The sequence below is a fragment of the Homo sapiens genome, chromosome 7 (assembly GCF_000001405.40).
Source record: "Homo sapiens chromosome 7, GRCh38.p14 Primary Assembly".
Classification (NCBI taxonomy): domain Eukaryota; kingdom Metazoa; phylum Chordata; class Mammalia; order Primates; family Hominidae; genus Homo; species Homo sapiens.
In genome coordinates, this window is record NC_000007.14 from 21,372,372 (window position 1) to 21,386,485 (window position 14,114).

The window sequence follows — 14,114 nt, forward strand, 5'->3', positions numbered from 1 at the left end:
AAACCCCTAAATTCAACATATAACTCTTACTAGCAGATTTAGAAATTAAATAATTTTTATTAAGAATAAGCAAATCGCTTTTAATTACTCTTTATTTTTTAACTAATAGTTTAGTAAGTTTAATGTATTAGATTTTTAACCTACATATATAACTTTAATATTTTTTATTTTTTCAAACACCTCATTTCTGATAAGGCCAACTTACAGACTAAAACAGTCTTTATAAATTCTTAAGCAGCTTTTTAAAATAAAACAAACTGAATGTACAACTTTAGTAAGCATTCAAGCACTGTTTGTAAACTTAATTGATTACATTCCCTAATGCATGTCAAATTTAAATCACAAGTATAATCAGGCATTTCTAATTAAAAATACAATACAATTAAATTCCCTAACATGTCAGAGATTCTCTAACATGTCATCTCTTGAACATTTCGTATGCTACATATAAGAAACATAAATTATCATTATGACTTAAAATATATTTCACATAAACTATCACAGTATTAATACTTTCTATATATTATGTTACTATCTCTATATAACTTCTACAACTTAATGGGTTTGCAAAGTCATTTTGTAGTAGGACAAGCCTCAGACAAAACTCCTCAGACACCAAGTTAAAGAAGGAAGGGGTTTATTCAGCCAGGAGCATTGGCAAGACTCCTGTCTCAAGAGCCAAGCTCTCCAAGTGAGCAATTCCTGTCCCTTTTAAGGGCTCACAACGCTAAGGGGGTCCGTGTGAGAGGGTTGTGATCAATTGAGCAAGCAGTGGGTATGTGACTGGTGGCTGCATGCACCAGTAATCAGAACGAAATAGAACAGGACAGGGATTTTTACAATGCTTTTCCACACAATGTCTGGAATCTACAGATAACATAACCAGTTAGGTCAGGGGTCGATCTTTAACTACCAGGCCCAGGGCGTGGCACCGGGCTGTCTGCCTATGGATTTCATTTCTGCGTTTTAGTTTTTACTTCTTTCTTTGGTGGCAGAAATTGGGCATAAGACAGTATGAGGGGTGGTCTCCTCCCTTATTCATCTGACTAAAGAGTGAATATTACTATTTCCAGCAGTGCCGGTTTCTCCAGATAAAGATTCAAAATGAATACCCTGCTACAGATCTAGGTAAACTGTCTGATTTGGGGAACTGGAATGTGGGATCAGAACTGTGATCCTTTTCCAAGCCGGTAACACTTACCATATCAACAGGGAAACTCAAAGGCATGCTTTTAGCTGCCATGCAGCTTTACAGTCCTTAAAATATATTCCTTCGGTAAATTTCCTTGGGTAAATTTCACCTTTATGCAAATTTTATTTTCAACTTTTTATTGTCTGATTTAGATACATGGAATTCTGCACCCACCACATGGAATCCAGCTAATTACCTTCAATTACAGTTAATTGAATTATGTACCCGTTTCATGGTGATAGAACATTTTTATATTTTATTCATTATCTATCTTCTTGACCACTACTTGCTAATCCTTACAATAGTCTCCTCCTTATTCATAGTTTCACTTTCCACAGTTCCTTTGGTCAACCACCGTCTGAAAATATTACATATAATAAGATATTTTGAGAGAGAAAGAAAAAAATAAGACCACATTTGCAGAACTTTTTTTACAGTATATTCTTATAATAGTTCTATTTTATTATTAGTTATTGTTAATCTCTTACTGTGCCTAATTTATAAACTAAACTTCATTATAGGCATGTATATATAAGAAAAAACACACTATATATACAGTTTAGTACTATCCTCAGTTTCAGGGGCCCACTGGGAGTCTTGGAGTATATCCCCCATGGATAAGAGGGAACAACTGTATATTAGCAATGTAATTGATTACATGTAGATTATGCAAATATATGCAAAATGTTTATAAATTCTTTTCCACCAGCACAGGAAAACATTGTTTTCATGTTCATTTATCACACCTATATATAGGTCACGGTTTGAAGACAGCTAGTTCATCTGGCTATCAACCTCCAAGGCCTGCCGTAGCTCACTCAAATTAATCATCTAATTAACAATCTTTTACACATAAACATAAAGTATTACTCTTAATAAGTATAGGATTTTTGTAAACCCACTGCAGTGCACCTAATTAAGCTAATTTTTTTATTTTTTCAGAAAATCTAAGCTGTCTAGGTTAGATGCACAATAAAAATAATAATCAATGAAATTAGCATAACAATATTTAATTTGCCATTGCCTATTATAATTGACATTGTTTCCAATTTTTAATACTATAGATAAAATTACAGTGAACATGTATTTGTCCATAAACATAGTTTTATTGTTCTGTTGAATTTTTTTTTTACAAAAATTCCTAGTAGTAATATTACTCAGTGAGCAGATGCATTTAGTTTGGCTGTTCATAGGTATTGCTTTGAATGCTTTCCAAAAAGCTTGTTTGATCACAACTGTGTCAATTTTGTACTTACTTGTTTTGTTTGAATGTTTTATAGTATAAGCAAATTTATAGAGGTTAAATAGATGCTACTAAAATGTTGCTTTGATTACTAGGAACAATAGATTTTTTTTAATAACTTCTTTTGCTATTTAAATTTTTACTTATGTGGGTTTTTTTGTTTATACCCTTTGCTCATTTACTACTGGGACTTGATGTTTGTCTTGTGAATTCAAATTAATTCTTTATGTATTATGTTAAGCTTTTCATACTTATATTTTATGCAAGCTGTTCTTCGATTAAGTTTTATCATATTTCATTTTATACATATACTTAAATGTTTTGTATTCACTTCTATGGCAATGAATCTAGAAATCTTTTGCGTAATTATTATTTAGCTTTCTTGAAAAAAAATCTATTTTAAAATATGTGTTTGTTCCATGAGGGCAAACACCATGCCTATTTTACTCAAAAGAATCTGCAGGATATAATATGTAGCCTAGCACTTAGGGGGCATCCATTAATTTTTTTGTATTTGAAAATATACAGAATTTCTCAAAGTGTTTGGCAATGAAATAAATTTTGATAACACTGAAAAGTATAGTCTTATGGAATAATAATTCTAATTAGAAAAGATTTTTAAGAAAATTAGTCTATTCAATGAGATTTACAATGTATATTAGCATATTAAAGTCTGAGTAGTCTGGTTATTAAAAAACAAAAACAAAACAAATAAAAACCTATTTAAGTTTATTTAACCCAAAAGTATACAAATTTATTTGACCATAGAACCTTCATTAACTTCTGTTATATGCAGATCAAATGTCCAGTGGAATAGGCTTCAGGAATTATGTACTAATGTCATTGCACATTCATTTGCCTAGTGTATTTATCAATGAAAATATACTTAAGATCAGTGTTCACATAGAAAGTATTACAATGGCTTCTACTGAAAAAGAAAAACATCTAATAAAGTAGCTATGAGCTCCATAAGCATTGCTTGGCCTAAAAAAGAAAAAACACAACAAAAAGTAAAGTAACTATAAGCAATGCAAAAAAAATTCTTTTCTTATTGTTATATTTTAAAAATATTTTCTCTGTAATATATATGGAGGGACACTATTAGTGTATCATTCACAGATATTTCTTTAAAAACTTCACAGTAGTGTGTGTGTGTGTGTGTGTGTGTGTGTGTGTGTGTGTATTCTGTGATCAGATCTGTTAAATTATGGACATTAGAAATTGGATATTTGCTTTAAACAATATTAAGTAGTAATTTTTTTGCACAGCTCTTAAAATAAAAATAATTATAATTTAAAAGCATAGAGTTTTAAATAAATACATTAAAATTAAATGTACAGAAATTTTCTAAAACCAACACTTTTAAAGTAGAACATATTTATTTGTTCTCTTCAATGAATAAAATTTTAGCTAAGTCATTAAATTCCTTTCTGTGTGAAATGCACAATTTCTCTGTCCAAAATATCTTGCTAATTGGACTTTAGGATTCTGTTTTGAATGTAGAAAAATGGACAGAATATCATTTTTATCCATAAATCAAATATAAGCTGAAAAAAAATTTTAAATTATAACTTTTCTTGAACCCATCAGTAACCTGAGATCTCATGGCAACCAATTAGCCTGAATCATAAGGAAAGACTGGAAACTCCAAGAAGAGACTGGATGCAAGCACTGAATCACCTGGGGCAGAGCACAAAAAGAATATGTGGCTGCTATATAAGTGGGCAGAAATAATTCATATGCTATTAGCAACAAATTGTTAAATCTGAGCCTCGACTATGATGAGAGTATAAAACCCATAGTAGCAACAGACACAGGGGTATCTATACCCATTCACGGGCTCTTCGTGGACCTTCATTTTATGGTCATGAGAAAAGATTACAGATACAGTAGAAAACCAATGAAAGCCTCACTTATGATGCAGAGGTAGAGTAATGGAGTTGTCACCACTGTAGAAAGGACAGGAAACTTTACTATGACCATATTACCCTGGGCAACAAAAGCCTAAATCCAAAGAGGTCAGAAAACCCTATGCTAGATAAATACAAAATACATAAATAAATAAAACAGCATGCACCTAGTCTTGAAATATTCAAACAACCGAAAGCCAAAGGTAAAGAGAGTACAGATGCCTCTTGACTTATAATGGGGTTATATCCCAATAAACTCATCCTAAATGGAAATGCAGGGTAACTAGGAGCTGTGGCTCACTGTAGGTGCCCAGGATCAGGAGAGAAGGAAGATTTCTACTGAATATGTGTTGCTTTCACACCATCATAAAGTAAAAAAAGTTAAAGTTGAGGGCCAGGGGCAGTAGCTTACACCTGTAATCTCAGCATTTTGGGAGGTTGAGGTGGGTTGATTGCTTGAGCCCAGGAGTTCAAGACTAGCCTGGGCAATGTGGCAAAACCCCATCTCTACAAAAAATACAAAAATTAGCCAGGCATAGTGGCATGGGCCTGTGGTCCCAGCTACTCAGAAGGCTGAGGTGGGAGGATCACCTGAGCCCAGGAAGTCAAAGCTGCAGTGAGCTGTAATCATGGCACTACACTCCAGCCTAGGGACAGAGTGAGACCCTGTCAGAAAAGAAACAAAAGGAAGGAAGAAAGGAAGGAAGGGAGGGAGGGAGGGAAAGAAAGAAAGAGAAAGAAAGAAAGAAAGAAAGAAAGAAAAGAAAGAAAGGAAGGAAGGAAGGAAGGAAGGAAGGAAGGAAGGAAAGAAATAAAGAAAGAAAGAAAGGAAGGAAGGAGGAAGGAAGGAAAGAAAGAAAGAAAGAAAGAAAAAAGAAAGAAAGAAAAGAGAGAAAGGAGAAAGAAAGAAGAAAGAAAGAAAGAGAAAGGAGAAAGAAAGAAAGAAAAGAGAAAGAAAGAAAGAAGAAAGAAAGAATTGTAAGTTGAACCATCATAAGTTGGGGACAATCTGTATCTTACAAGCAGCCTAAGAAAAAGGATACATTACAGAGGGGAAAAGAAGATAAGAACTATGACAGACTTCTCATCAAAACTATGCAAGCTAAAAGACAGTGGAATGACATCTTTAAGGCAATGAAAAAAAAAATCTGTGCACCTATATGCTATACTCAGAAAATCTTTCAAAAATGAAGGCGGGAAAACACAACACTTTTTCTCTACGCTATACTCTCACAACATACTTCTGACACCAAATGTGTGTGGTTTCTCCCCACATACCAAGCAATTCTGCAGCAGACACCGAGTTATCTTATAATTCAATTCCATTCTGACACTAAAAACCAGGGTTCCCACAAGCCCCTTCTGGAGTCTGATAATTTGCTAGAATGGTTCACAAAACTCAGGATTATACTTTATTTATGTTTATCAGTTTATTATAAAGGATATAACTAAGGAACAGCCATGTGGAAGAGACACATAGGGCAATGTATGGGAGAAAGAATCATACAGATCTTCCATTCTCTTTCTGGGTGAGCCTTTCTCCTAGCACTCCACAAGCTCAGCAACCCAGAAGCTCATTGCATTTCCTAGTTCAAGAGTTTCCATTGAACTTAATCTCCAACCCCTTTCAGCCATCCCCTGATATCCCCACTAAGTTTATTAGCATAAACTCAGTTGTATAGAAAGGAGCTCATTATGAGTAACAAAAGATACCACTATCTCAGGAAATTCCAAGCTTTTTAGGTGCTCTGTGACAGAAACTAGGGATAAAGACCAAACACATTTCTTATTCTACCACAGAAGAATGTAGATATATTTTTAGAGCATTCATTACCCACAGACATACACTGTAATAAATGTATTTAAAAAGTACTTAAGGCAGAAAAAATATGACACCAGACAGAAACTTGTATCTACATAAAGAAATAAAGACCTCCTGAAACACTTTAAATGAAACTAAACGTAAAAGTAATATTTTGCTTATTTTTAATCAATCTAAAAGGTAATGGCTTAAAGCAAATATAGTAGCACCAATGTATTGGGATTTTATAGCTTATATAAAAGTAAAATGTCTCACAATATCACAGATGATGGAGAAATTTGGAGTTTACTGTTGCAAAGTTTGTATACTACACATGAAGCAGTATTATATTATTAATATTTGAAGGTAGACTATACTTAATTAAAGATGTACATTATAAACTCTAGGGCAAACATTAAAACATGTATTAAAGAGGTATAAATAATAAGCCAGGCCAGGTGAAGTTGCTCACATCTATAATCCCAGGACTCTGGGATGCCAAGGGAGGAGGATTACTTAAGGCCAGGAGTTTCAGACCAGACTGGGCAACATAGTGAGATCTGGTCACTACAAAAAAATTTGAAAATAAAATAAAATTAGCCAGACATAGTGACATGCACTGGTAGTCCTAGCTACTCAGGAGGCTGAAGCAGGAGGACTGCTTGAGTCCAGTAGTCCCAGGCTACAGTGAGCTATGATCATGCCATTACGCTTCAATCTGGGTGACAGAGTGTGACCTTGTCTCTAAAAAACTTAAAAAATAAAATGCCAATAGTGGAAATAATATAGAATCATAAAATGTATTATATTAATGTAAATACAAACAAGAAAAAAGAAGAAAAAAAATCCAAGAGTGGGTGGGACAAATAAAAAGCAATTACCAAAGTGGTAGGTTTTAATTTAATCACACCAAAATTATTTTAATGTAAAGGGTCTAAACACTCTAAGTACTGATTGTCAGATTGGATAAAAAAGCAAGACTCAAGTATATGCTGTCTATAAGAAACTAATTTTAAATATAAAGACTTCTAGTTTAAAAATATAACATTCAAACACTAATCAAAATATTTTGCGTATTTAAATAAATGTTGACACCCTAGTTGTAAACAGTATTTGATATCGTATATAACGTATATGATATATAACATATAAATAACAACGAAATGTGATTTATCTATATTTAAATCAAGAAATAAACATTCTCCCTAAACCTGTGGCTTTTTTCCAAGGCTATTTCCAAAGCATTCTCTTAACCTTTGTGTTCATGACACAGCTAATACTTCAAAAGAGAATCAAAGCTAATACCTCAGCAGTCTTCTAGTGACAATTGGATCCACATTTATCTCTGGACTGGATTGTTTGAGGTGTCATAAGTACTTTCATCAAAATAGAAATAAATGACTTTGTGACTTTCCTGTACTAATGTAAATGTATGCATTTATTAAACAAGACTCCACAAAACAGAGTGTGTTCACTATTTATTGTTAAATTTCTATGTTCTTCTTTCTACTTTTACAATTTTATTGTTTCCAGATTATACTTTTGTAAGTTCTTATAATCTTTCCCCCTCTTAATCCTTCTTGTGGAACAGAAACTTCCTAATGAATGGTCTACTTGTCAGTCCACAAGCTTTCTTCTGTACATATATATATATAAAATATACTGATTCAGTAATCAATAACATAAAAATAATTTTTTTTTGAGATGGAGTTTTTGCTCTTGTTGCCCAAGCTGGAGTGCAGTGGTGCGATCTCAGCTCACCGCAACCTTCACTTCCCGGGTTCAAGCAATTTTCCAGCTTTAGCCTCCCACGTAGCTGGGATTACAGGCATGTGCCACTATGCCTGGCTAATTTTTTTGTATTTTTAGTAGAGACAGGGTTTCACCATGTTGTCAGGCTGGTCTTGAACTCCTGACCTCAGGTGATCTGCCTTCCTTGGCCTCCCAAAGTGCTGGGATTACAGGCGTGAGCCACCATGCCCGGCCACAAAAATAATTTTCAAAATACTTTGATTCTCTAGTATCAAGGTAGTGCATATAATATAGGTTTGTGTGATAATCCTTTCTAACATATAAAAACTAAGTCACCTCTCTTCTTAGGAAATCTCAACCCACAAGAAACAGCAATTTATTTTTTATTATCTTCTGCCCTCAAACTATATATCAAGATGTTTAAAATTTAGATTTGAAACCTGGCTACGTTTTAGGATAAGTAATTTAATGTAACAAAGAATAATTTGGCAGGTACAATTTCTGTTTAACAACTTTACACCAGGTAAGGTGGCTTACACCTGTAATCCCAACACTTTGGGAGGCCAAGGTGGACAGATCACTTGAGCCGGGTTAGGTGGCGCACGCCTGTAATCCCAGCTACTTGGGAGGCTGAGGTGGGGGGATCACTTGAGCCCAGGAGGTCAAGGCTGCAGTGAGCCATGACCTTGTCACTGTACTCCAGTCTGGACAGCAGAGCAAAACCTTTTCTAAAAAAAATGTTAAAAACTTTACATTATAGGACATAAAATTCTTATAAATATTTTAACAAAGGCCCCGGTGTGAGAGTCTTAGGTTTAGGGAAAAATATTACAAGTTTATTTAGTTCTCTTATTTAATTACTTAAAAAAAAAGATTACATGCTAAAATATGTTAAATAAAAATATAAATATAAACCAATTGATTTATCTTTCCATAATCTTAAAACATAACTAGAGTAACAAAATCAAGAAGTGCAAAAAGATAAGATTGATAAATGTTTAGATACTAAAACAACCACTTCAAGTGTTATAAAAGAGTTATGTAGAGAATTACTGAATGTAGAGGAGAGCATTTACTTCAAAAATGTTGGAGCATACTCGTCTGGCAGGGAAGATAAAATGATCATGAAGGTGGCTTTCCCAGGGTGAGATTTATTTATTGCACTCTGGGTGTGCAGACCCCTGCAATTTCCCCGAAAGTGGGAAACTTGGCTGCATAATTTGTGTTCTTCCTTGGTTAAAAAGAAAAATAGTAGGCTAATAAGGGAAGGCTATTCAGATGTTGTATTAGTTTTGAACTATATCTTGTAGAATGTGATCAACCAAGGCAAAGCTGACTTGGGAGAAACATGGGAAGGTGCTGTCAGGAATAGTATGTGCAAAACACAGCAATGAATACCAAGATATATTTACATAAATGTAAAAAGTTATGTATGGTAATATTGAGGAAGTGACAGATAAGTGAGCCAAGATCAGATTATGAAGAAACTTACATGTGATACTAAAGGTTTCTATTTTTATCCTGAAAAAAGTATGGATAACTTTTGGGCTAATACTTAAAATTTGCATTTTTTTAAAGGATCACCTTGGAATCATGGAATATAAATTAGAGAAGAACAGGAGAGCTTGACCAATATGGAAGAAATGGCAGCAAAACAGGCAGGAAATTACACAATTCTGAAGAAAAGCAGTATGAGCAGAATTGAAATAAAAGGTAAGGTTCAATACGTTTAGAAGATACAATTGAGTAGGTTTGGTGGCTAATTGTAAGTGAGACATGAAGTAAATGGAAGAATTTCTAATGATTCAAAATTTTCTAAATAGTTGCCAAAAATAAATTGGGTGAGCATCTTTGGGACATATTGAGATCTTTGACATATTGAGATTAATGGACATATTAATGTTCAAAAGGAGACATACAAAAAGATACATTGTCTGTCATCAAAGGCAAGATTGAGATAGATATTTGGGAATTGTGGCCCATGGGTAGAATTGAAAATTATGGATGAGATTTTCTCTAGAAGAGTGAGTTTTTATTTTTTATTTTATTATTATTATTTTTTTTAGACAGTCTCACTCTGTCACCCAGGCTGGAGTGCAGTGGTGGGATCTTGGCTCACTGCAAACTCTGCCTCCTGGGTTCAAGCAATTCTCATGTCTCAGTCTCCCGAGTAGGTGGCAGTAGCACGCGCCACCTTGCCCAGCTAATTTTGTGTGTGTGTGTGTGTGTATTTTTAGTAGAGACAGTGTTTCACTGAGTTAGCCAGGCTAGTCTTCTGGACTCAAGTGATCCACCCACCTCAACCTCCCAAAGTGCTGGGATTACAGACGTGAGCCACTGGGCCTGGCCAAACAGTGCATCTTTAAATGTGATCCTGAGACCTCCAGTTGACCCACAGTGGTTTGCAGAGAGTGTCTGTATGAAAGGAAAAAATAGAATAAAACTCTATTCACACACATCTCACAAAATTGAGTATAAGATTATTCATTATTAAAAACTTTTTTAAAAAGCTCGTCATTATTCTCGCAGAAATCCAATTACATGTTTAATGAGTGTTGGTTTGCATGCTCTGTAAAAACTGCATTGGTAAGTTTATCTTGGAAAATATTTTATGTTATTTTTTACATCTATGATTTTGCATTTTAATTAATACTATTGTACTTTATCCCCAAGTCACAAAAATGGACCAACAGTGACCCACTGAAGCATAAAAGATGGGAACAAACACTACAATGCCAAATAATTTAATTTTAAAAAGATAAATAGTATAGCCCTCCAGTGAAATGTAGAGTGGGGTGGTTTTACACAAGGACCTGAGAAAGAAAAATGCAAATGGGAACTGCCATTATGAATATCTGAGTATTGCATTATGTGGTGGTGTCCGTTTACACCATCCTTGTCAAATAGTGAAGTTTTGTCAAATGATAACATGAAGTATATATGCCTTTGCTCCATTTTCAAAGAAAGCCCAGTTTCAATCAAGTAAACCAATTTAATTTTTCTAGAACAAGCAAATATACTATTTTCTAGTATAAAGCTGATTAATTGTATCACTTAAACCAAAACTATAGAGGCATCCTTCAACATTGTACATTTCACAGCCAAAACAGGCAAAAGTCACACTGTTGCTAACAAGCTGATAAAATCAGCCACAAAAGTGAATACTATGTATTTTGCTCAGCTGATAAAACCAGCCACAAAAGTGAATACTATCTATTTTGCTTAGCAACAAAACAGATTAAGTTTTGGCAAAAATCTTTTAGCAAATGACTCTAGTGAATGTTGCCCAATATAAATAGCCTGCAAAGTTAAAGAGCAATCACTGTCTTTGGGGAAATGACCAGGTGGGATATTCAAAATATTTAACAACTGATAAGGCATAGAGAGCAACCAATCATAACAGATGCCAACTGCAAGCAAATGGTATAGGACTACTGGTATGTGTTAGCTTGCCTATCAGCAGATATTTTGCTTTACAACTGTGTAGAGTATGAATAATTTCTTGGCAATTGCCTAATACATATATGAAGTGCTTGACAATGTTTTTTGTTTATCATTAAAAGTCTTAGTGTTCGATTTAGGGGAATTTTTGACCCAAAGTTAATCCAGATGCTCTTCTCTTTGACAGCTGTAATTAATCAATAGCTAGGTGAAAGGTTCAGAACTTTAAGAGACAGACATTGGCCAAACGGTTTTTCAAAGTACTCTTTAGTTTCTATTTCAATAATTGTAAGGTTAATTTGTTTTTGCTTTTGCTTTTGTTTTTGTTTTGTTTTAGAGACAGGATCTCACTCTGTCACCTAGACTGGAGTGCAGTGGCATAATCACAGCTTACTGCAGCCTTAAGCTACTGGACTTAAGCTGTCCTTCCACCTCAGCCTCTCAAGTAGCTGTAACTACAAGTGCACTCCACCAGGACTGTCTAATTTTTTTTTTTTTTTTTTTTTTTTTTTTTCAGTAGAGACAGGGTCTCACTATGTTGCTTAGGCTGTTCTCAAACTCTTGAGCTCAAGTGATCCTCCTGCCATCCTGTCTTGGCCTCCTAAAGTGCTGGGATTACAGATGCGAGTCACCATGCTGACCAATTTTAAATTATTAATCAGCTATTATCCACCCTAGTTTCTCAGCTGCCTGCTATGGTGTCCCCAGTAGAAAACTCTGTTTCTACACTCACACAACCCTTCTGACACCAAATGTGTGGGCATTTTGCACACCAAGAAGCTATCTGATTCTGTTCAGATACCAACTAGGTGTCCAACAATCCAGTTCAGTTCTGACACTAACTACTTAGGATGTGATGTTCCATTGGTTTTAGGGCTCAGACCCACAAGATTGCCCTAACTTCAGAGGCCAGTTCCGAGTATCAGGTTTCTCATAGCATACTTCTGACTTACACAATGTATAAATTGAGGCTCCCAGGACCCCCTCCTCGGGTTCAGTAATTTGTTAGAATGGCTCACACACGCAGAACTCACGAAGCCATGTTATTTATTTATGTTTACTGGTTTATTATAAAGCATACAAATGAACAGCCAGATGAAGAGGTATATAAGGCCATGTCAGGAAGGGTCCCTAGTGCAGAAACTTCTGTTCCTGTGGAGTTAGGGTATGCTAACTTCCAGCAGGTGGATGCATTCACCAATCCAGAAATCTCACTGTTCAGGAGTTTTTATGGGGCTTAATCTCTAGCCCCCATCCCCAACTTTGCAGAGTTGGGGGAGGGTGGAAGCTGAAAGTTCCAAGCCTCTAATCATTTGGTTTCTAGTGACTAGACCTGTCCTGAGACTATCGAGGGTCTTCATCCTAAGTCATTTCATTAGCATGAACTCAGGTGAGATCAAAGGGAGTTTATTATGAATAATGAAAAACTCCTACCACTAAGCAAATTCCAAGGGTTTTAGTGCCTGGATCCAGGGACAAAAACCAAATATATTTCTTATCATTTCACAGTCTCTTTGTTTGAGCTGCTAGTGTTCCCACCAGTAGAGTTGTCCTGTTTTAGTAGGAGAAAGCAGGAAATAAAATTGCCTAAGCCAAGCCTCATCGTCTCAGTTAGGTATTTTCCTCTGGGTTTGGTGACCTGCCTCCCTCTGTTATACCTGTAATGCTTGACAACCAATCACAATGTTTTCTTTCTCATTTGGGGCACTGAGAGACAGGACTCCTAAGTTCTTTTTTTCTGTTTTTTTTGTTTCTTTGTTTGTTTGTTTAAGAGACACAGTCTTGCTATGTTGCCCAGGCTGGAGTGCAATGGCTATTCACAGGTGTGATTATAGCACACTGCAGCCTTAATCTCCTGAGCTCAAGTAATCCTCCCTCCTCAGCCTCCTGAGTACCTGGGACTATAGGTGCATGCCACAGCACCCAGCCTCCGTAAGTTATTGAAAAGAAATATTACAAAGTAGTTAATATGCAAAATTTCTTGTGATATAGAAGAAGATATAAAGCCTGAATAACACATACATTTGCTCCATCCTCTTGTAATTTACGTAAATTCTATCTTAGTACGGAAATGACTCAAGCCTTATGGTGCTACCATCTCCTGGTATGTTTGTCAAGTTCATCTTTTTGCAATAAAGGAAAGCAAGTGGTCATTGCAAAGTAGAATTGTCTAAAGATCTCCTGGCTCACTATGCTATTGGAGAAGAGTTTTTGTTGTTTAGTTAACAATTTATTTCTGGGCTGGAAAGGGTTGATGGGATCAGTATTGATAGGGCACCTGCAACATGTGCAGCCAGAAGATGTTGTTACTAATACATTAATAAATGGGAGGCCGGGCGCGATGGCTTACACCTGTAATCCTAGCACTTTGGGAGGCTGAGGTGGGCGGACCATGAGGTCAAGAGATTGAGACCATCCTGGCCAACATGGTGAAACCCAATCTCTACCAAAATACAAAAATTAGCTGGGTGTGTTGGTGCACGCCTGTCGTCCCAGCTACTCGGGAGGCTGAGGCAGGAGAATCACTTGAACCCGGGAGGCAGAGTTTGTAGTGAGCTGAGATCCCACCACTGCACTCCAGCCTAGTGACAGAGCAAGGCTCCGTCTCAAAAATAAATAAATAAATAAATACACACATACATACATACTTAAATACATAAATACATAAATAAATAGGAGTTTTGTCCAAGTGTCCATCCCTAGGCTGCTTTCTCCATAACGAATAGCAGGAAGGTAAAAATATGTCTCCAGATCTTAATTCAGAACTGAAGAAGT

At 35.5% G+C, this 14,114-nt stretch overlaps 1 pseudogene, besides 1 other annotated feature; it reads left to right on the forward strand.

The window, feature by feature from the left end:
* On the forward strand, window positions 8,992-9,123 carry RNU1-15P (RNA, U1 small nuclear 15, pseudogene; annotated as a pseudogene).
* Window positions 11,596-11,665: an enhancer, noted in NCBI's record as "active region_25699". NCBI's record gives its function as "activates an Ori minimal core promoter by ATAC-STARR-seq in GM12878 lymphoblastoid cells {active_cell/tissue: GM12878}" and the evidence as "EXISTENCE:reporter gene assay evidence [ECO:0000049][PMID:35858748]".